This window comes from Homo sapiens, chromosome 12 (assembly GCF_000001405.40).
Source record: "Homo sapiens chromosome 12, GRCh38.p14 Primary Assembly".
NCBI lineage: Eukaryota > Metazoa > Chordata > Mammalia > Primates > Hominidae > Homo > Homo sapiens.
In genome coordinates, this window is record NC_000012.12 from 130,756,749 (window position 1) to 130,776,918 (window position 20,170).

At 49.2% G+C, this 20,170-nt stretch overlaps 1 long non-coding RNA gene across 8 annotated transcripts, besides 4 other annotated features; it reads left to right on the forward strand.

Annotated features, from left to right (window-relative positions):
* Nucleotides 1-218: 218 nt before the first annotated feature.
* Nucleotides 219-6,375, forward strand: LOC105370080 (uncharacterized). Of its 8 annotated transcripts, none has more exons than XR_001749400.2 (6): nt 219-1,369; nt 3,991-4,058; nt 4,550-4,789; nt 5,441-5,655; nt 5,758-5,853; nt 6,256-6,375. It is a non-coding gene; the product is annotated as an uncharacterized LOC105370080 (long non-coding RNA). The 8 variants fall into 8 exon arrangements; XR_001749402.2 differs by having other exon boundaries at nt 5,761-5,853; XR_001749398.2 differs by having other exon boundaries at nt 219-670; nt 1,265-1,369; nt 5,441-5,853.
* Nucleotides 5,152-5,957: an enhancer, noted in NCBI's record as "H3K4me1 hESC enhancer chr12:131246445-131247250 (GRCh37/hg19 assembly coordinates)". NCBI's record gives its function as "activates a minimal SCP1, AML or CMV promoter by ChIP-STARR-seq in naive H9 embryonic stem cells {active_cell/tissue: H9 hESC(naive)}" and the evidence as "EXISTENCE:reporter gene assay evidence [ECO:0000049][PMID:30033119]".
* Nucleotides 5,202-5,351: an enhancer, noted in NCBI's record as "active region_7344". NCBI's record gives its function as "activates an Ori minimal core promoter by ATAC-STARR-seq in GM12878 lymphoblastoid cells {active_cell/tissue: GM12878}" and the evidence as "EXISTENCE:reporter gene assay evidence [ECO:0000049][PMID:35858748]".
* Nucleotides 19,160-19,309: an enhancer, noted in NCBI's record as "active region_7345". NCBI's record gives its function as "activates an Ori minimal core promoter by ATAC-STARR-seq in GM12878 lymphoblastoid cells {active_cell/tissue: GM12878}" and the evidence as "EXISTENCE:reporter gene assay evidence [ECO:0000049][PMID:35858748]".
* Nucleotides 19,876-20,170: a silencer, noted in NCBI's record as "tiled region #14372; HepG2 Repressive DNase unmatched - State 1:Tss, and K562 Repressive DNase unmatched - State 20:ReprD". NCBI's record gives its function as "represses a minimal TATA promoter and a strong SV40 promoter by Sharpr-MPRA in HepG2 and K562 cells {active_cell/tissue: HepG2 | K562}" and the evidence as "EXISTENCE:reporter gene assay evidence [ECO:0000049][PMID:27701403]".

Here is a 20,170-nt window from a genome sequence, read left to right on the forward strand (position 1 = left end):
TTGTTTTTGTTTTTGAGATGGAGTCTTGCTCTGTTGCCAGGCTGGAGTGCAGTCACGCGATCTCAGCTCACTGCAACCTCTGCCTTCCGGGTTCAAGCAATTCTCCTGCCTCAGCCTCCTGAGTAGCTGGGACTACAGGCATCCACCACCACGCTCAGCTAATTTTTGTACTTTTAGTAGAGATGGGGTTTCACCATGTTGGTCAGGCTGGTCTCAATCTCTTGACCTTGTGATCCGCCCATCTTGGCCTCCCAAAGTGCTGGGATTACAGGAGTGAGCCACCGCACCCAGCTCTTCTTTGAGTTTTTAAGGCCACATAAGCTGTGGATGTTATAGAATTTCTTATTTCCCTGGGCAGCAACTGGGCCTCTATTGAGACCCAAATGCCCTCTTCAGAGGGAACTACGAGGTCAACAAGCACAATCCCCACATGTGCAGTGAAGTCTCCATACGTCCACTCTGGAGGAGGAGATGACAAGGCAGGGAGGCTGTCATTTCCTACTTGGGCGGACCCTTCTAGGGGCGGTCTGCTCTGGCCCCTCCGCAATTCCAGTCAGCAGCCTAGCATGTCACTCTGGGAGGACCGCAGGAACTAGCAAATCCAATATTCTGCTTACAAATGGAGAGACGGAGGCCCCAAGAAGAAAGCTAAGAGGTACCATCATCAAAGGTAAGGTGATGGGAAGCTGCCCCATGCCTCGGTGTTCCACTATGAGACAGAAGACACAGTGGTTATAACTGCCACTTACCACTGATTGTTAAACTCAACTTCATTTCTTTTTATTTTTTGCCTTTGCCATGATAGATTTTATATCTTATCACCACAACTGTGTGGTGATGTGGTTTGGATGTGTGTCCCCTCCAAATCTCATGTTGAAATGTGGTCCCCAGTGTTGGAGGTGGGGCCTGATGGGAGGTGTTGGATCATGGCAGTGGATTCCTCATGCATGGCTTGGCACTCTCTCCTTGGTGATGAGTTCCTGCTCTGAGATGACAACTCAGATAACTCCATGCTGTGGTGCTAGCACCTGAGAGACCCATGACCGAGAGATCTGCCCCCACATATAAATCCAGAGGGATGGGGCTGGCCTGCTGCTTCTCTTCAAGAACCAGTAGAGGCTGACGCTGCAGAGAGGGCAGCACCCCAGGGTCAAGGAAATCACCAACAGAGGGGACCAGCAGGGGTCACCTAAGACCCCAGAACAAGAGAAACCTTTCTTAATTTGCCACATCCAGTGAGTTCAATAGAAGCCTCCTGTTTCAGCCAGGGGTCCCCAGGGAAGCAGAGTAACAGGACATGCGTGGATATGGAAGTGGACATAAGCACGGGAATGGATGAATATGGATATGGATATTGATATAGAGAGAGGTATGGATATGGACATGAATATGGGTATAGATACAGATAGGAATATGGATCTAGATGGATATGGATACAGATATGGGTACAGATTTAGGCATAGATATGGATGTGGACATAGATATTGGTATAGATACAGATATGGATATGAATACAGATATAGATACAGATGTGGCTATGGAAATAAATTTGGATGTAGATATGAATATAGGTATGGAGGTACATATAGGTATAGACACAGATATGGCTATGAATATAGATACAGATATGGAAATGGATATGGGTATAGGTACAGAGGTGGCTATGGGTATAGATATAGACATGGACTTGGAAATGGATGTGGGTGTAGACATGATGAGGGTGTAGATATGGATGTGGCTGTAGATATGGATACAGATGTAGGCACGGATGTGGACGGAGGTATGGATGAGAGTGAGATATGGATGTGGGTGTAGATATGGATGTAGGTGTAGATATGGATGTGGGTGTAGATGTGGATGGGGGTGTAGATATGGATGTGGATGTGGGTGTAGGCGTGGATGTGGGTGTAGGCGTGGATGTGGGTGTAGGCGTGGATGTGGGTGTAGATATGGATGTGGGTGTAGATGTGGATGTGGGTGTAGGCATGGATGTGGGTGTAGATGTGGATGTGGGTGTAGATGTGGATGTGGGTGTAGATGTGGATGAGGGTGTAGATGTGGATATGGGGTAGATATGGATGTGGGTGTAGATATGGATGTGGGTGTAGATATGGATGTGTGTGTAGATATGAATTAGGGTGTAGATATGGATGTGGGTGTAGATATGGATGTGGGTGTAGTCATGGATGTGGGTGTAGATATGGATGAGGGTGTAGATATGGACGTGGGTGTAGATATGGATGGGGGTGTAGTCATGGACATGAGTATAGATATGGATGTGGGTGTAGATGTGGATGTGGGTGTAGGCATGGATGTGGGTGTAGATGTGGATGTGGGTGTAGATGTGGATGTGGGTGTAGATGTGGATGAGGGTGTAGATGTGGATATGGGGTAGATATGGATGTGGGTGTAGCTATGGATGTGGGTGTAGATGTGGATGTGGGTGTAGATGTGGATGAGGGTGTAGATGTGGATGTGGGGTAGATATGGATGTGGGTGTAGATATGGATGTGGACGTAGGCATGGATGTAGGTGTAGATATGGATGTGGGTGTAGATATGGATGTGGGTGTAGGCGTGGATGTGGGTGTAGATATGGATGTGGGTGTAGGCGTGGATGTGGGTGTAGATATGGATGAGGGTGTAGATATGGATGTGGGTATAGATGTGGATGTGGACATAGGCATGGATGTGGGTGTAGATATGGATGTGTGTGTAGATATGAATTAGGGTGTAGATATGGATGTGGGTGTAGATATGGATGTGGGTGTAGTCATGGACGTGGGTGTAGATATGGATGAGGGTGTAGATATGGACGTGGGTGTAGATATGGATGGGGGTGTAGTCATGGACGTGAGTATAGATATGGATGTGGGTGTAGATATGGATGTGGACGTAGGCACAGATGTGGATGTAGGCATGGATACAGACGTAGACATGTATGTACATGTAGGCATGGATGTGGATGGAGGCGTGGACATGGATGGAGGTATGGATATGGAGGTATTCATGGATATATGTATGGATATGGGTATATAAATGTAGATGTGGATCCAGATAGGAGATTTCTTTTTGCGATTGGCTCATGTGATTAGAAGCTGTCAAGTCTGAAATCTGCAGGACAGGCCAACGGGCTGGAAACCCAGGCTGAGGCTGAGGCTAAAGTCTTGGGGCAGAATGTCTCCTTCCTTCAGCTGACTGGGTGAGGCCCACTCACGCTGTGGAGGGCATTTGCCCTTACTAAAAGTCAGGTGACGGGGCACATCCACCATGTCCACAGAATACCTTCCCGGGAGCACTGAGATTCATGTGTGTTTACATAATTGGGTGCCATGGCCTAGCCAAGCTGACACCTAAAGCCAACCACCACAGCCCACACAACCACCACAGCCCACACAACCACCACAGCCCTGCCAACCACCACAGCCCACACAAGCACCACAGCCCTGCCAAGCGAGCCCAGCCCTGTCTCTTTACCCCTCTTCCCTGGTGCCAGCATTGCCTGCTGTGGGGAGCAAAACCACAACCAGCCTATGAAGGGCTGAGCAGGGCGCTGACAGAGGACCCTGGTCCGGCCCCTGCTAAAGCCTCAGCCCACAGCAGGGTGCAGCTTAGAGGGGAGTGAAGTGGAAAGCTACACTGAGAGCGCAGCTCATTGCCTGGGACTGCATGGGCAGAGGTTCCTCATCTAAAAATACTCACGAGCCACCCCCTTTCGGTGCAGGGAAGGGAAGTGGGTCCCACTGAAGGAGGCTGAAAGGGCAAGGGGAGATGTGGTTATCGCCGTGAAAGTCTCCTGGGTCCAACACACCCTCCCAGTTCACGCTCATTCCCTTTGGAGGGACTGAGTCACCTCCCCAGACACCCCAAAGATATGGGAATAAAGTGGTTATATCAGAAAAGGAGATCTCTCCAGCGACAGGGGTATCTCTCAGTGTGACTTCTTGGAGTCAAGGTTTTCTGGAAGCTGAGAGTGTGTCTGCCCCTCCAGGTCTGCCTCCACCCCAAGAGGACCTCGTGGACGTGGTGCCTCAGGCTCCACCATCCCCAGGAGAAGAGGTGGGTGTTTGTCATTTCCTGCTCCACCCCTGCAGGCCAGATCTGAGGGCGGCTGCACCTCCTGCTCCCTCGGCAGCCCCTCGTGTTCCTGTGTCCTCCCCTGTCCTCGGCCCTACTCTGTGGGCCTCCGGGGACCATTCCCTCTCTGGTCCCCACAGGCTTGGGCGAGGCGACCACTTCCCACTTTGCTGGTCCCAGGATGCATCCCATCCATGAGAGTCCCCTTAACCTTGACCTCTGGAAAGAGCCCCATCACTTTTCTCTCCATTCACCCATGTCAGGAATGTTGAATTCCTTTGCTAGCAACACGGAAAGCCTCGATCGGATCCTGTCGTCGCGCTGCCTAAAGCCCGGTGACAGCTTCCCATGGTGCTTAGAATAGAATGCGAAGCCCAACGGGCCCTGCCCAAGCTTCCACCTCCCTCCCAGCCTCCTCCCCTCACTGCACCACCAACAGCCACCACCTTTTGTCTCCTCTGATGTCCCATCAGTGCCATGCTTGGACTCGTTTTTGCTGTTTTTGGGACAGTGGTGCCATTCCCCTCCCGTGACTGACTCCTGCGTGCAGTCCCTAATCTGCCCATCACCGCCGGGGCACTGTCCACAGCATTCTGTTGATTTCCTCCACACTGTCTAACACAACCTGAAACAACCTCATCTGCCCACCACGTCTCATCTGTGCCTCCCTGCCTGGAACGGAGCTGCAGGAAGGCAGCGATGTTTGTCTGGAGGTGAGCACTGCGGTGGGCATTTGCCCCGCACGTGGTGGGTGACCATTGGGCGGGTGGGCACCCCCCGAGGCCTCAGAGCAGCAGACGCCCCTCCCTGAGCCTGGTTGGGCCTGCACCACAAGCAGCACCCAGGTCCCACAGGTCCCTCTCCACACACAGCTCAGTGCAGGCCGTGAGCAAGTGGTCGCATGCACACTGCTGACCACCTGCCTGGCATGGCGTCTGGTAAACAGCAGGTGGATATTGGTGTAGATGTGCCACCTCGAATTGCTAGATTGGGCAGAACCCCGCTAGAGCCCATCCAGTTGCAGACACAAACCCAGGGCCCAGCAGATGGTGCTGTCTGCTAGGACAAGGCTGGAGAGCAGTCGCTCCATCCAGTCACCGTTTCCCGCATCTGGACGCCTGCATCATCCCCTGGACAGCCATGCAGAACCCGCCCTGTGCAGGCATTGGAGGGCCGGGGACAGGAGGCTAACCCTCCATGGTGGGGTCCAGGCTACCCCGCACAGCATCCTGCAAGGCAAGTTCCGCACCGCGACCACAGGCGGCCACAGCCCCGCCACTGAGCACTCAGGGGCAGCCGCGGTGCAGGAGCAGAAGTTTCTGTCTCACTTTGTTTTTATTTCAGTGTCCACCCCCTGGTTGCAGGTTCCCTGTTCGCTGGTGCGGGTCTATGAGGAGGAAACACACAGAAACCAAAAGATGGAATCAGGCTGTCTCGGGCCACTTCCTTCCGCCACAGCTCTGCCTGGAGTGCCAGCCCCAGCACAGGTGAATACACAGAACCAGCGCCTCCCTCCTGGAGCTTTCCTGGGGAGACCAGTGAGGGTGAACAAGGAAGCGGATAGAGAACTCCCCGCAGCGTAAGTGCAGTGGGGACATTTGTGGCAGGGAGTGCCTGGGGAGGGTGGTCGGGGAAGGCTGCCCCAAGGAGTTATCATCTGAGCAAGACCCAAAATTGTAAGAAGTAGCACGCGGCGCTCCCAGGGAAGAGCATGCCAGGCTGGAGGCCCTGCGGAGGGGACAAGTTCAGCAGCTTGGAGGACCAGAGAGAAATCCAGGTGGGTACTGGCCAAGGTGGAGGTGTGAGAAGGAGGGCTGAGGACGGCTGGGGTCACACAGCACCAAGTTGTACCAGCCCAGGCACAGTTAACCATTCATTTTAAGAGCAAGTGAATCCCACATGCTTGACCCAAGGAATTGCTGGAAAGGTGCTGACGGATCCAAAGGATGTAGAGTTCAATGCCAAAGGGTGTGGCAGTCACCTCTCAGAGGCTCGGAGCAAGTGGCAGGGCAATCAACTCCCCTGCATTTCCATCCACAGTGCACTAAATGCCACTGAATCATCCGTCCACAGTGCACTAAATGCCACTGAATCGTCCACTCTGGAGTAGTTGATAAGATTGTTAACTTATGTTATGTGAGCTTCACCGTGAAATAAATGTGTGTGTCTTCATCCACAGCTCCTGCCTCCTAACTCACACAGCCCTGGTTATAGCCTTTTGTTATCACGTTGGGGCAGTTTAGGCCTCAGGAAGCTGAATCTCAAGACCCTAATCTGACTGTGGGTCAGAAGATCCTCATTCCAGGGTGGGTTCTGCCTCATCCCCTAGAGGAAGAAATGCTGCCGAGAAGCTGAGAAGAGTCTGGGCCAGGCGTGGTGGCTCATGCCTGTAATCCCAAGACTGGGAGCCCAAGGCGGGCAGATCACCTGAAGTCAGGAGTTCGAGGCCAGCCTGGCCAACACGGCAAAACCCCATCTGTACTAAAAATACAAAAATTAGTCGGGCATGGTGGCACGTGCCTGTAAAACCAGCTACTGGGGGTGCTGAGCCAGGAGAATTGCTTGAACCTGGAAGGCAGAGGTTGCAGTGAGCCGAGATCACACCACTACACTCCAGCCTGGGTGACAAAGTGAGGCTCCGTCTCAAAAAAAAAAAAAAGAAGAATCTGGACAGACAAGCCCTGCTGAGTTTACACCACGCCCTGTGTATCCAGTTGCATTTCTACATGGTTGTCAATCATTCCTGTCCAACGATGTCTCCATCAAAGGCCCAAGAGGACAGGGTTCAGGGACCTTTCAGAGAGCTGACCACGCAGAGGCTCCTGGAGGGGCTGCCCAGGGAGGGCATGGCAGCTCCACGCCCCTTCCCCGTACCTCGTCTGTGCATCTCTTCATGTATATTCTTTGCAATATCACTTATAATAAACCAGGAAACGTGTTTCCCTGACTCCCGTGAGCCACTCTAGCAAATTAATCAAACCCAAAGAGGGGGTTGTGGGAACCCCAACATCAAGAAGTTGGTCAGAAGGCCCAGACGTGCAGCTCATGTCTGGAGTAGGGGGGGAGGTCTTAGGACTGAGCCCTCTCCCTGTGTGATCAGACACCGTCTCCAGGTAGAGGGGTCAGAATAGAATCGGAGGATGCCCCTGTTGGTGTCCGCTACAGCAGTGTTGCTCACTCAGTGGTGGGGAGAAGCCCCAACTCTGCGTTTGCTCACAGGAGTCTTCTATGTTGATGATGTCGTGGTGTTGAAGTTGATGATGTCATGGTGTTCATGATGTCATGGTCTTGATGATGTGTTGATGATGCAGTGTTGATGATGTCCTTGTGTTGATGATGTCTTGGTATTAATGATGCCGTGTTGACGTCATGGTTTTGATGTTGTCATGGTGTTGATGTCACGGTGCTGATCTCATGGTGTTAATGATGCAGTGTTGATGATGTCCTTGTGTTGATGATGTCATGGTATTAATGATGCCATGTTGATGTCATGGTTTTGATGTTGTCATGGTGTTGATGATGTCACGGTGCTGGTCTCATGGTGTTAATGATGTAGTGTTGATGATGTCATGGGGTTGATGATGTTGTGTTCATGATGTCATGGTGCTGATGTGGTGTTGATGTTGATGTGTTGATATCATGGTGTTGATAATATCGTGGTTTTGACGATGTCATAGTGCTGATGATGGTGTCATGGGGTTGCTGAGGTCGTGGTGTGGATGATTTCCTGGTATTAATGATGCGGAGTTGATGAAGTCATGGTGTTGGTGTGGTGTTGATGTCGTGGTGTTAATGATGTCGTGCTGATGTCATGGTGTTAATGATGCGGTGTTAATCATGTGATGTTGATGGTGTCATGGTGATGTCATTGTGTTGATGACGTCATGGTGCTGATGTCGTGATGTTATTGATGTGGTGTTGATGATGTCACAGTGTTGATGATGTCATGGTGCTGATGTCATGGTGTTGGTGATGCAGTGTGGATGATGTCATGGGGTTGATGATGTCATGGATTTGATGATGTCGTGGTGCTGATGTCGTGGCGTTGATGTGGTGTTGATGTCATGGTGTTTATGTTGTGGAGTTCATGATGTCATGGAGTTGATGATGTTATTGTGTTGATACTGTCATGGTGTTCATGATGTGCTCATGGTGTCGTGGTGTTAATGATGTGGTATTGATGATGTGTTGTTGTGGTGTTGATGATGTCATGGTGTTGAAAGTGTCATGTGTTGATGATGTCACTGTGTTAATGTCATGGTGTTGATAGTGTCATGGTGTTACTGATGTGGTGTTGATGATGTCATGGTGTTGACAACGTCATGGTGTTGATGTGGTGTTCATGTCACTGTGTTGATGTCATGGAGTTGATAGTGTCATGGTGTTAATGATGTGGTGTTAATGATGCGGTGTTGATGATGTCATGGTGTTGATGATGTCATAGTGCTGATGATGTCATGGTGTTAATGATGCAGTGCTGATGATGTCATGCGTTGATCATGTCATGGTGATGTGGTGTTGATGATGTCGTGGTGATGTCATTGTGCTGATGTTGTGTTGATGTCGTGGAGTTAATGATGTGGTGTTAATGATGTCATGGTGTTGATGTCGTGGCATTGATGGTGTCATGGTGTTGATGACGTCATGATGTTAATGCAGTGTTGATATCATGGTGCTGATGATGTCATGGTGATGATGTCACGTTGGTGATGTCATGGTGTTAATGATGCAGTGTTGATGATGCCACGGTGTTAATGATGGTCTTGGTGTTGATGATGTAGTGTTGATGTCATGGTGTTAATGATGTGGTGTTGATGATTTCATGGTGGTGTTGATGTCATGGTGTTGACATGTCATGGTGCCGATGATGTGGTGGTGTTAATGATGCAGTGCTGATTATATCATGGTGTTGATGATGTCGTCGTGTTCATGATGTCATGGAGTGCTGGTAGCGGGACAGCAGCTTGAGTTTCTTCAGAGCAGCTTCTTGGAAGTGTGTATTCACTCCTGCCCACACCTCCACCCCAGGGACTTAAAACAATCTCAATGCCAGAATATCCATACCTTGGGAAGTCACTCAGCCATCAAAAGGGATGAAGCCCCGACCCGTGTTCCAACATTGATGGAGCTTGCGAGCACCACACCAAGGGAAAGAAGCCAGGCATGTAAGGCCACATACTGTATGGCTGGAAATGTCCAGAACAGGCAAATCCACAGAGACAGAAAGTAGATTCATGTGGGGAGGGAATGGAGAGTGACTACTAATGGCAACAGGGTTTGTTTCTGACGTGATGAATGTATTTTGAAGCTAGACAGAAATGGTAGCTGCATGCCATTAGGAATGCACTAAATGCCACTGAATTGTACACTTTGGAGTAGTTAATAAGATTGTTAATTTATGTTATGTGAGCTTCACCATGGAATAAAATAATAAGTGTATGTATGATAGAGGAGACCTCAGAGTCAGGTTGAAAACAGAAAGCACCCATCAAGTGCTTACTATTTGCACTATTGAAAATGCTGACCATGACCCCATTTAATCCTCACTCTGCGAGGGAGAACTATTAATACTGTTAGCTCTAACTCTTGGATGAGGAAACTGAGGCACAGAAAGTGGAAGTGATTCAGGCAGGGACACAGTGGGCAGCAAGGGTTCAAGCCCAGGTAGTATTTCTTAAAGAGGTCACCAATTTGCATAAGCTTCAGGCCTTACAAAGCCAGTTTCACATTAACATCACCACCACCATCATCACCATCGTCATCACCACCTCCACCATCACCACCATTATCACCATCACCACCACCACCATCACCATTATCATATAATCATCACCATCATTACCAACACCATCATCACCATCGTCATCACCATCACCATCATCACCATCACTATCATTACCATCACCATCATTATCACCATCATCATTACTATCATCATCACCATCACCAAAATCATCACCACCATCCCTATCATCACCACCATTATCAATGTCACATGCCAGTAGTGAGATGTAAAACAAATGAAATTATCATGCATTGCTGATGGAAGCTTGGAAAGAGAGAGAGGAAAGAGAGTGGAAAGAACAAAGGGAGGAAGAGAGGGAAGGAGGAAGGGAGTGAAAGAATAGGGGGGAGAAGAGGAAATTGGAGAGGATGGGAGGGAGGGAAGGCAAGGGAAAAAAATCCTAGGAGGTGGCTTGGGCCCTCTGGCCCTTCAATCCCTAGGGGCAAAGGGCTCTCGGATGTGGGGCAGGGTCGGGAGGAGGAGTGCTACAGGGATGTCTCCCTCACATGGCAGACAGAAAGGGTGAGTGCTCAGGACAGCCCAAGAATGATGTGCAGGGTGGGCCCAACCTCCCATGACCCCTGCACCTCCCTCCCAGCAGGACACTGCAACTCTCCATCCACTCCTCCCCACTACCAAAAGAACACAAAAATAGGAGGATGGACTGCTGGTGCTCGGTGGTCCACAAACAGATGGCTCCCTTTCAACTCCAGCCTCAGCCTGGATCCCGCCTGGGTATGAATCCACCTGGCCCAGTAGGCAAGGCCAGATACAGGAGGGGCACCCAGGCCTGTCTGCGGGCAACACCAGCAGCATCACCACTCCATGGTCAGCTTGGGGCATCCTGCTCTTAGGATCAAACACTAGTGTCAGAGGCGTCCTAATCAGAGTGAGTCTGTCTTTAATAAATGTGGGATATAGCCATGCCTGCAGGGTTACACCCCCAGGGGGTAGGCACTCTTGGGCACAAGATGTTTATGGTTGAGGGAACAAGTTAATGATGCTAACTAAATAAAGACGCAGAATTTTATGGCAATCTCTTAATATTTTAAGAACAAAAAGCATTCTTAGTTTAAGAGTAGGTTTTGATTTAAGGTTAATAGTACATTCGTAAATCCTTGCTGAAATCAGTAGTAACATAGGAAAATAATACTAATAGCCTGTCAGAAGCTGATCACCAGCCTCTGTAATAAAGCACAAAAGACCTCTCTTCTTAGCTCTGTTAACCTATATAAATAAGAATCGTATTTAAGGTGTGCGCGTTCCTTCTCTTGCTTTTGGAGGACATCCTACTCTGTAACCGAGTGGTCTCTGATAAACGATTTTAACTTTACTATACTCTGCCACTCACCTGGAATTGTTCCTCATCCAACATCCAAGAACCCGCTCTTGGGGTCTGGGACAGGCCTCTTATTCCAGTGACATTAGGAAGGGGTTAAAAAATGAAAAAAAAAAAAAAAAGCACTTGCCTTTCAAGATGCCTGCTTGGTCCTTCTCCAAGTATCCTTTCCTTCCTTTCATTCATGTTCTAAAGCCTTTTAATAAACTTTCACTCCTGTTCTGAAACTGGCTCCGATCTCTCTTTCTGCCTCATGCCCCTCAGTCGAATTCTTTCTTCTGAGGAGGCAAGAATTGAGATTGCTGCAGACCCGCACGGACATGAATTCACCACCAGGAACGTTTTGATGCCATGACTCAAATACGTATTTTGGTGCTGCATGACTCAGATCTGTTCCTGGTGGTAAGACACCTCTATGCCTCACCTTCTTCGGCTAGAGATGCTCAACGCCTGTACACAATTTTCTTCTCCCCTTTTGCTCTCCTGTTTACTAACCAATGCCCAGAACAATTCCCCTTCGTTGTAAGTGACTCTGCTGATCTCTCAGTTCACCCTGATGGGTGGCTTGCAGGGGTGGGAAGAACCCTGGGGTCTGCACCGAGTGGAACTGAGGCACTGATGGCCCCCTGGAGACAGAAGACTTGTGAGGGTGGTGGGGCTAAAGCCTAAAGCCTAAAGCCATGCAATGTCTGGGGTTTCCTCTGCTTTTGCAACTAAAATCAGCTCTTTCCCAAGAACCCACAGTGCCTAGTCTCCTGCTTTCTCTGCGTGTGTTCTGCCTGTGGGGCTTTTAAACACTCCCTGGTATTCCCTGGTGTCCACAGCTCTTACTGCATTTGTGTGGCACCAAAGACATGGGCTCCCTTGTGGATCCCCCCTGAGATTTATATTTGTTCTCACCCTACCAGCTCAGATGACCTCCCACCCTTCCCGTCTGCTGCCGCACTGCCGGGGCAGATACTCACTGGAACTCCAGCCCTGTCAGCTCCTTATGACCTACCATGTGATTTCCATTTCTGTAAAAAGGAAAAGAAAAATGAGGCCGGGCACAGTGGCTCATGCCTATAATCCCAGCACTTCGGGAGGCTGAGGCAGGTGGATCACCTGAGGTCAGGAGTTTGAGACCAGTCTGGCCAACATGATGAAAGCCCATCTCTACTAAAAACACAAAAATTAGCCAGGCATGGTGGTGCATACCTGTAGTCCCAGCTACTCTGGAGACTGAGGAGGAAGGATCACTTGAACCTGGGAGATTGAGGCTGCAGTGAGCCAAGATCACACCACTGCACTCCAAGCCTGGGTGACAGAGCAAGACCATCGCAAAAAAAAAAAAAAAAAGAAAGAAAAAATGAAAAAAGGAGGCTCTATCCCCAGGTTCTTTCTTCACCCTGGGAATTCTCCACAACTCCCATGGGAGCAGGGCTGGGAGACAGTGCAAAAGAGTCTTGAAGCCGGACAACAGCGGGGGATTCCAGCACTGCCATTCTCTACTGGAATGCTCAGCTGGATGCTTGACCCTGGAGAAATTCTTTCTCTCTCTGAAGTTTTCCTTAGTGGAGAGGGAGAAAATGAAAAAATATGCATATGCCTATTTTGTTAAATGTAAGGTAATAATAGCTATTAAGATTCAACTATTTGTAAGAAGGTGAGAGTTAAAAGACAGTCTGGGAGACAAGCACAACAGGCAGGACCTGACATGGAGCAGAGTGCTCATCAGATTGGGTTTTTCTCAACCTTCAGTGATCACCATAAATTTTCTATGACTTTCTATTCATCCCATCTATATCATTCATCATTTGAATACTTTTGGCTGTTTAATTAAACACATTGACTCACTTTTCTTTTTTACTTAAATATGTTTTAAAGGAAGCCTCATATCTCAACCAAAAATGGAAAACTAATATATCCATTGCCATTAATAAAAGGTAACAATATAATAAAGAAAATTCAACAGTATCATCAAACTGCAGCTAGCTTGTACAGTCAGTTGAAGGCGTCATGCTTGAGGCCCACTTCTGCCTTTCTCTTTTTCAAACAAGAAGTTTAGAAAGGTTAGAGATTGATTGGTACCCAAAGGAGACTCCCTTGTTGATTTAATTATTAGAAAAATGGGTAATTAAAAAGTGATTAACTTCACTATGGATTCAATGTTATATCTGTTATAAAAAATATTAAAAACTTAAAAATAGGCAAAAACAAACCACTAGGTGTGTCTCTGTGGTTGGCTTTCTATTGACTGAACTATTTTACAACTGTAGAATAGAAGTTCATGTAGAGAATACAGCAGTGTGCATGCTTCTTATCTGAGAGCAACACAAAGCTTCCTCTATGGCAATGTAATCAGTGTTGTTCACTGTAGATGCAACTGATGCTCATGTCTAAGGAAAGATGATCCCAAGTATTACTTACACCTTATTGTCCTGTAGGATGTTACCCAAGTTTGCATCTATTATCAAATTCATTTCAGCATGCCTTTGTTCTTCACATTGTCCTTTGAACCAGCCTTGACATCTGCTGTGGTCTGAATCTGTCTCCCCAGATTCATGTGTTGGAAATGTAATCCCCAGTGCAACATTGTCAGGAGGTGGGGCCTTTGGAGGTGTTTGGGTCATGGGAGCTCCACCCACATAAATGGATTAGTGCCTCTGTAATCTGGGGTTTTCAGGATGGGTTCGCTCTCTCTTGCCCTTCCACTTTCCGCCACGTGAGGATGCAGCAAGAAAGCCCTTGTCAGACGCCAGCATCCTGATCTTGATTTTCAGCCTCCAGAACTGTGAGAAAGAAGTTTCTATTCTTGATAAATTGCTCAGCCTCAGGTGTTCTGGTCTAACAGCACAAAGTGGACTAAGACAACATCTTACAGGTACCCTCGTTTACTGATGAGTTAAATACAACATCTTACAAGTTCCCTCGTTCACTGATGAGTTAAATACAATCCTTTACATGTGCTTATTTTATATTTATAGAACAGTTGTTTTCCACCTTTTGAAAATTACATTTTAGCATCCAATTGTACCGAAAATCACCTCCTATGCTGGTTAGGGTCTCCTACCAACCTCATTCAACTATCTCATTTATAGTTGGTACTAAGGCCCAGAAGGGGTCAGTGCCTTCTCTGAGTCTGCACAGCAGTGGATGCTAAACCTGAGACTACAAGCCAAGTTCCTGATTCGTTTGTGTTTCTCTTGGCCATCCGCCTCCCCTTAATGGCTACCCAAACCTACCTCTCTAGAGGTTCCAGTCCCCTCTCACCTTTCTGGATGTAAAATGTATTCCTAATCTCTCGCCTCTACCCTGGCAACCCACACTCCTCCTTACTGCTTCCCTAATTCCCAGATAATACCCAAATACAGCCTTCCTTCTCTGCCCTCTCCTTGCCTCCCTGAACCAGAACACCTGTCTCTTAAACTTAACCAGGGTCCCACACTCCTCTCCAAATACTCCCCGCCATGACCTACACACCCGACACATTCTGGCCGCTGCCCTCCTCTCTACCTCGGTCCCACCAATCTCCCCAGCTCGACACACTCTGCACTCGACCCCTCACTCTGTCCCTTAAACTGCCAAGTTGCTCCTGCTCCACGGCCTCTGCCCTCACAGCTCCCACAGCCAGGGGTCTTCTCCCCACTCCTCCACCTTCTTCACATGCCGTCCTCCCTTCAGTTGGCCTCTCCCTGGCCACTGTGGTGAACACCCCTACCTCCACCACCTCCTGGCCACTCTATCCCAATACCGTGCGCCCAATTCTTCACAGTCTTTCTCTTGCTCTCATTTCAGAGCTGTATGGGGTTTCGGCTGGCTGGTTTACTGTCGATCTTCTGCACTAGAACCTAAGTTCCGGTGAGCAAGTTCCCTGTTTGGCTTGCTCAGGGCACCTAGAGCCAGGCCTCGCGCAGAGCAGGTGCTGATGAATATTTGCTGAATGGCTGCACACTGCCTTAGCTGGTAGCAGCCCCTGGGTCTCTGAAAAGGCTCGCGATGTCAGACAGGGCGACACATGCTGCCTCTGCTGCTGACTGTGCTACCTGGGCTCTTTCCTTCAAGTAACATCTATTTCATGCCCAGTACAGCTCTAGGTGCTGAGAAAATGGGACTTGATTACATACAGTGGCTGCAGTGAGGAAAGAAAGGGGTTCGTGCCATGGAAACCAGCAGGCAAGAGAAGGTATGCTCTCAGCCCAGCATCCTCAGCTGACTTGGGCCACCAGCCTCACATCCCCTTTGTTTCATTGACTATCTAAGTCCACTTTGCATTGCTCTAAAGGAATACCTGAGGCTGGGCAATATATAGAGAAAAGAGGTTTATTTGGCTCATGATTCTGCAGGCTGAACAAGAAGCATGTGCCAACAACTGGTGAGGCCTTGGGCTCCTTCCACTCATGGAGAAAGGGGAAGGGGAGCAGGTGTAGCACATGGAGTGGGACGGGGGAGTGGGGAAGGGTAGGACATTGCCGGGCTTTTTTTTTTTTTTTTTTTTTGAGACGGAGTCTCGCTCTGTTGCCCAGGCTGGAGTGCAGTGGTGCGATCTCAGCTCACTGCAAGCTCCGCCCCCTGGGTTCACGCTATTCTCCTGCCTCAGCCTCCCGAGTAGGTGGGAATATAGGCACCCATCACCACGCCCATTGCCGGGCTTTTTAACAATCAGACCTTGCAGGGACCCATAGAGCGAGAACTCACTCATTACCACAAGACAGTGAGGGGGAGATATCCAAACCACATCACTGATCACTTCCAGAACATGGGCCTCCAAGACACAGGAGGTTCAGGACCCAGCGTGAGAGCAAGGACACACAGCCTTCCAGAGGAGACTCCCAGTGAGGCCACCCCGCACTGGGGGATTTCAAGCCATCTGGGAAAGATCTGGGGAAAGATAAGGTGACTATTCCAGCCACCTCCAGTCATGGAGAGGCAGGCAGGTGTATGCAGAAAGACAGAGGACAAGGTAAAAGTGTTGGGGGGACTCATGTGGAAATTCAACAATTGTGATATTTTTAACAAGTTCCTATTGTCTTAATTTTTTTTTTTTTTTTTTTTGAGACAGGGTCTGGCTATGTTACCCAGGCTGGAGTACAGTAGCATGATCTCAGCTCACTGCAGCCTCCATCTCCTGGACTCAAATGATCCTCCCACTTCAGCCTCTGAATTAGCTACCATGCTCAGCTAATTTTTTTATTTTTTGTAGAGATGAGGTCTCACTATGTTGCCTAGGCTGGTCTTGAACTCCTAGCCTCAAGTGATTCTCCTGCCTTGGCCTCCCAAAGTACTGGGACTGCAGGCACAAGCCCTGCACCTGGCCACCAGTCCCTACTGTAAAAAGGAAAAAATACACACACACAAGCACATATATATTACAGCAAAGAAAGGGGGCTGGATTTTCGGATAACTTATCTGTAGCTCCGAGGACAACCCGGTTCCCCAGGGATTCATTAAGTCCTTCTTACATGGCTGCTGAGTCTTCACCATCAACAAGCCCAGCAACCTCCCCAAAGAAAGGATTCTGCAGCCTGGAGAGGGCCCTCATCCACTGATGATTATGTTTCTTGCTCAGAGGAAACTAAGTCTAGCTCCCTGCTAACGCAGCCTTGGGAAGCCAACACTTCACCGAGAACCCTGAATCGGCCCCTCTCAGAGGCCGGGAAGGCAGTGGGGCTGGCAGGGCTACCGTTCTGAATTCATGTGCACCGACTGCGTCCCCTGAGCTACGCCTGCATTCACCGCACTGATTCAAGACAGCCGCATCCATTCACCAGGCTCTGTGTCATCAACATCACCCTGTGACGTGCCAACATCAGGGATCCCCCACTCTGAGCTCAGGAAGACCGTCCTAGGATATTTTTTTAAAGCACAGTGAGAGAGAAATAAGAAGGCCAGTGGTAGTGACAGACCTAAGAGTGTTCTGTCCCTCTTAGGCCCCACGACGCGCACCGCTGCGTGCTGCCTGGGAGCTCATTCTTAGGTTTTTAGGTCTTTAAAGAGGCTGTGAAGAGGAGGGTATTCCGGATGCTTTGTAAACTGACAGACTTTTTAATTAACATAACACCGTGATATTATCACATCCAACAAAACTAACACCAATCCCTTACTATCTTCTAATACCCAGTCCATAATAAATGTATCTGCTTATCTCAAAAAAAAAAAAAATTCAGTTGGTTTTGTTCAAATCGGAATCTCAACACGGTTTAGACAACCTTTGGTATTTCTCTTAAGTCTCTCTTCTCTTTTATTTTTTTTAACAGATGCATTAACCTTAATGAATCAGGAATATATCAAAAGAGCAAGCAGGCCGGGTTCAGTGGCTCACGCCTGTGATCCCAGCGCTTTGGGAAGCCAAGGCAGGTGGATCACTCAAGCCCAGGGGTTCGAGACCAGCCTGGGCAACATAGTAAGATGGCCATCTCTACAAAAAATTACAAATACAAAAATTAGCCAGGCATGGTAGTGCACGCCTGTGGTCCCAGCTACTCAGGGGTCTGAGGCAAGAGGATCATTTGAGTCTGGGAGGTTGAGGCTGCAGTGAGCCGTGATCGCACTAGTGCACTGCAGCCTGGGTGAGAGAGAGATCCTGTCTCAAAAAAAAAAAAAAAAAAAAGCAAGCAGGATATTAAATGAAGGAGCCATTTTAGCCAGGGAAGGGGCCGGAGGACGCAGCACATCCCTTCCGCATTGCAGACTTGCAGTCTGTCTCTTGGAAGCTCACAGAGATCTCCATGCATCCTGCTTAAGATCAATGGTCAAAGACTATCAATCCCATCTGCAGCCAGGAGATGGGAGATTACATGACTCTGCCAAGGGACCCAGACTTCCTTTAAGGGATTTTCCCAAATGTCCTCCCTAGCAGTAAGGCCGGATATCACCAAAGGAGGCGAAGAAACGAATGAGAAATACGCAGTGTCCAACAGACTGACCTGTGTGCCCCTGGGGTGTCCTCATGGTTCGGGTTTTACAGCTTTTACAGGTTTTCTTCAAAAACCCAAATATCAAGGTGAACATGGCACATCCTATTAAAAGGGAACACGTTAATCACTGTGTGATTTCAGAGAATAAAAAGATCTCCTGTAACCCACACAAACGCCAGGCCCCATGTGAACCAGGCTGTACGCGGCCCACATAGAAAGAAATACTAGGATTCACGAACCAAAGGTGATAAAAAGCAATTCCTGTCTTTAGTTGTGCTTCTTGGAAAAGCTTTTAGGGCATCTAATTCATAGTCCATAGCAATACTTTCTTTTTAAAAATCTACATTAATTAATTAATTTATTTATTTAGTTTTGAGATGGAGTCTCACTCTGTCACCTGGGCTAGTGTGCAGTGGTACAGTCTCAGCTCACTGCAGCCTCCGCCTCCCTGGTTGAAGCGATTCTCCTGCCTCAGCCTCCTGAGTAGCTGGGATTACAGGTACCTGCCAACACGCCTGGCTAATTTTTATATTTTTAGTACAGATGGGGTTTCACCATGTTGGCCAGGCTGGTCTCAAACTCCTGACCTCAAGTGATCCACCCGCATCGGCCTCCCAAAGTGCTGGGATTACAGGTATGAGCCACTGTGCCTGGTCTTCTACTTTTTATTTTGGAATAATTTTAGATTTACAGGGAAGTTGCAGCAGTAACATCTAACATCTCCTTCCCTTTCACCCTCGGTTCTTCCGCACTTTGCAATCTGTTCTGCTGCTTTTCTCTCACTAACTCCCTACCCGGCCCACCTATCCCCCAAAACATACTCTTCCTGGCACCCAGTTTCTGTGAGTTTCAGTCCCTCCTGGGTTTCCTCCTCTTGTTCAGCTTTTTTATTTCACAGCCCACCTGAGCTTCTCTGGCATGTTTTAGTTTTTTCTCCACTCATTTCACTCTAATTTCCCCACCAAGGAATGTGCTGGAGCCAGCTGGGCCGGCCAGAGCCCTCTCCCCCTTCTCACGGCTCTCTGCTTATTTTCTCCACTCGGCCCATTCCCCTGACTCCATTCTGCATGAAAAAAGGGAGCCCGGGGGAAGGACCTCATTCTCCTTAGAGGGTGGAGGAAGCGCGCAGTGTGAAAACCTCCAGTACAGGAGGCACGAGCGATGATGGAGAGCGCTGGAATCGCTGACGTCTTCACGGGTCGCGCCTGCTGCCCTGAGGAGCCCGGCCCCAAAGGCTCAGGCTGGAGCCAACCAAGCCAGGGAGGTCATCCCAACTGCACCCTGCGGCCTCCCCGGGCCGCGAGGAGGGAGTTCTGCAGGGCAGGCAGCGCCTGCAGAGGCGGAGAACACCCGCACAGCTGGGGCCCCTCTGCTGAGATGCTGCCCAAAATACCCCGCTCACGACTGCCTTCCAAGCTAACTGCTGAAGCCGAGAGTTCTGACGGGCAGCAGTGGGCGTGCATGAAGCCTGAGTCACCATTTCAAAGCGCTGTGGCGGAGCAGAGGCATCTGCTCTGGGCACTGGCTTCCCAGCTGGAAGGAGGCACCTCCCAGCAAGTCGCCCTTGGGCCAAGAGCCTTGGAGCTCCCTCCCGGTCTCCCGGGTCCCAGGACAGGCGTTTTCATTTACCCATGGGTCTTTACTACAACTTGCGTTAGGCACTACTTCCTTACAAAACCATCCATGGGTCCAAAGACAGTTCTGTTAGTCTCTCTCTGACAATACCCCAAAACACCTCTAACCTCCGTGTGTGCGGATCTGCTGTAATCTTGGCCCTCACTTTGTAATAACAGCAAACATTATGGCCGGGGTCAGAGCCAAAGTCCATTCTCCCGTTATTTCATTTAACGCTCGCTGAATCAAGCTGCACTGAGGTCCTATTGTTCAAACAGGAAGTAGCAGTGCAGGGGACGATGCGGCCGCAGGGCTAGAAAAGGCTGGAGCTGGGGTCAGAACAGGCTTTGCCTCCATGAGAGCGCTGTCCAGCTGCTGGTTTCTGGCCCCAGCCGGCTCTCCTGTTACTGTTCTGCTGCACTGTGGCTGGTTTTGCTTACGCTCGCAGTGCTGCTATAAA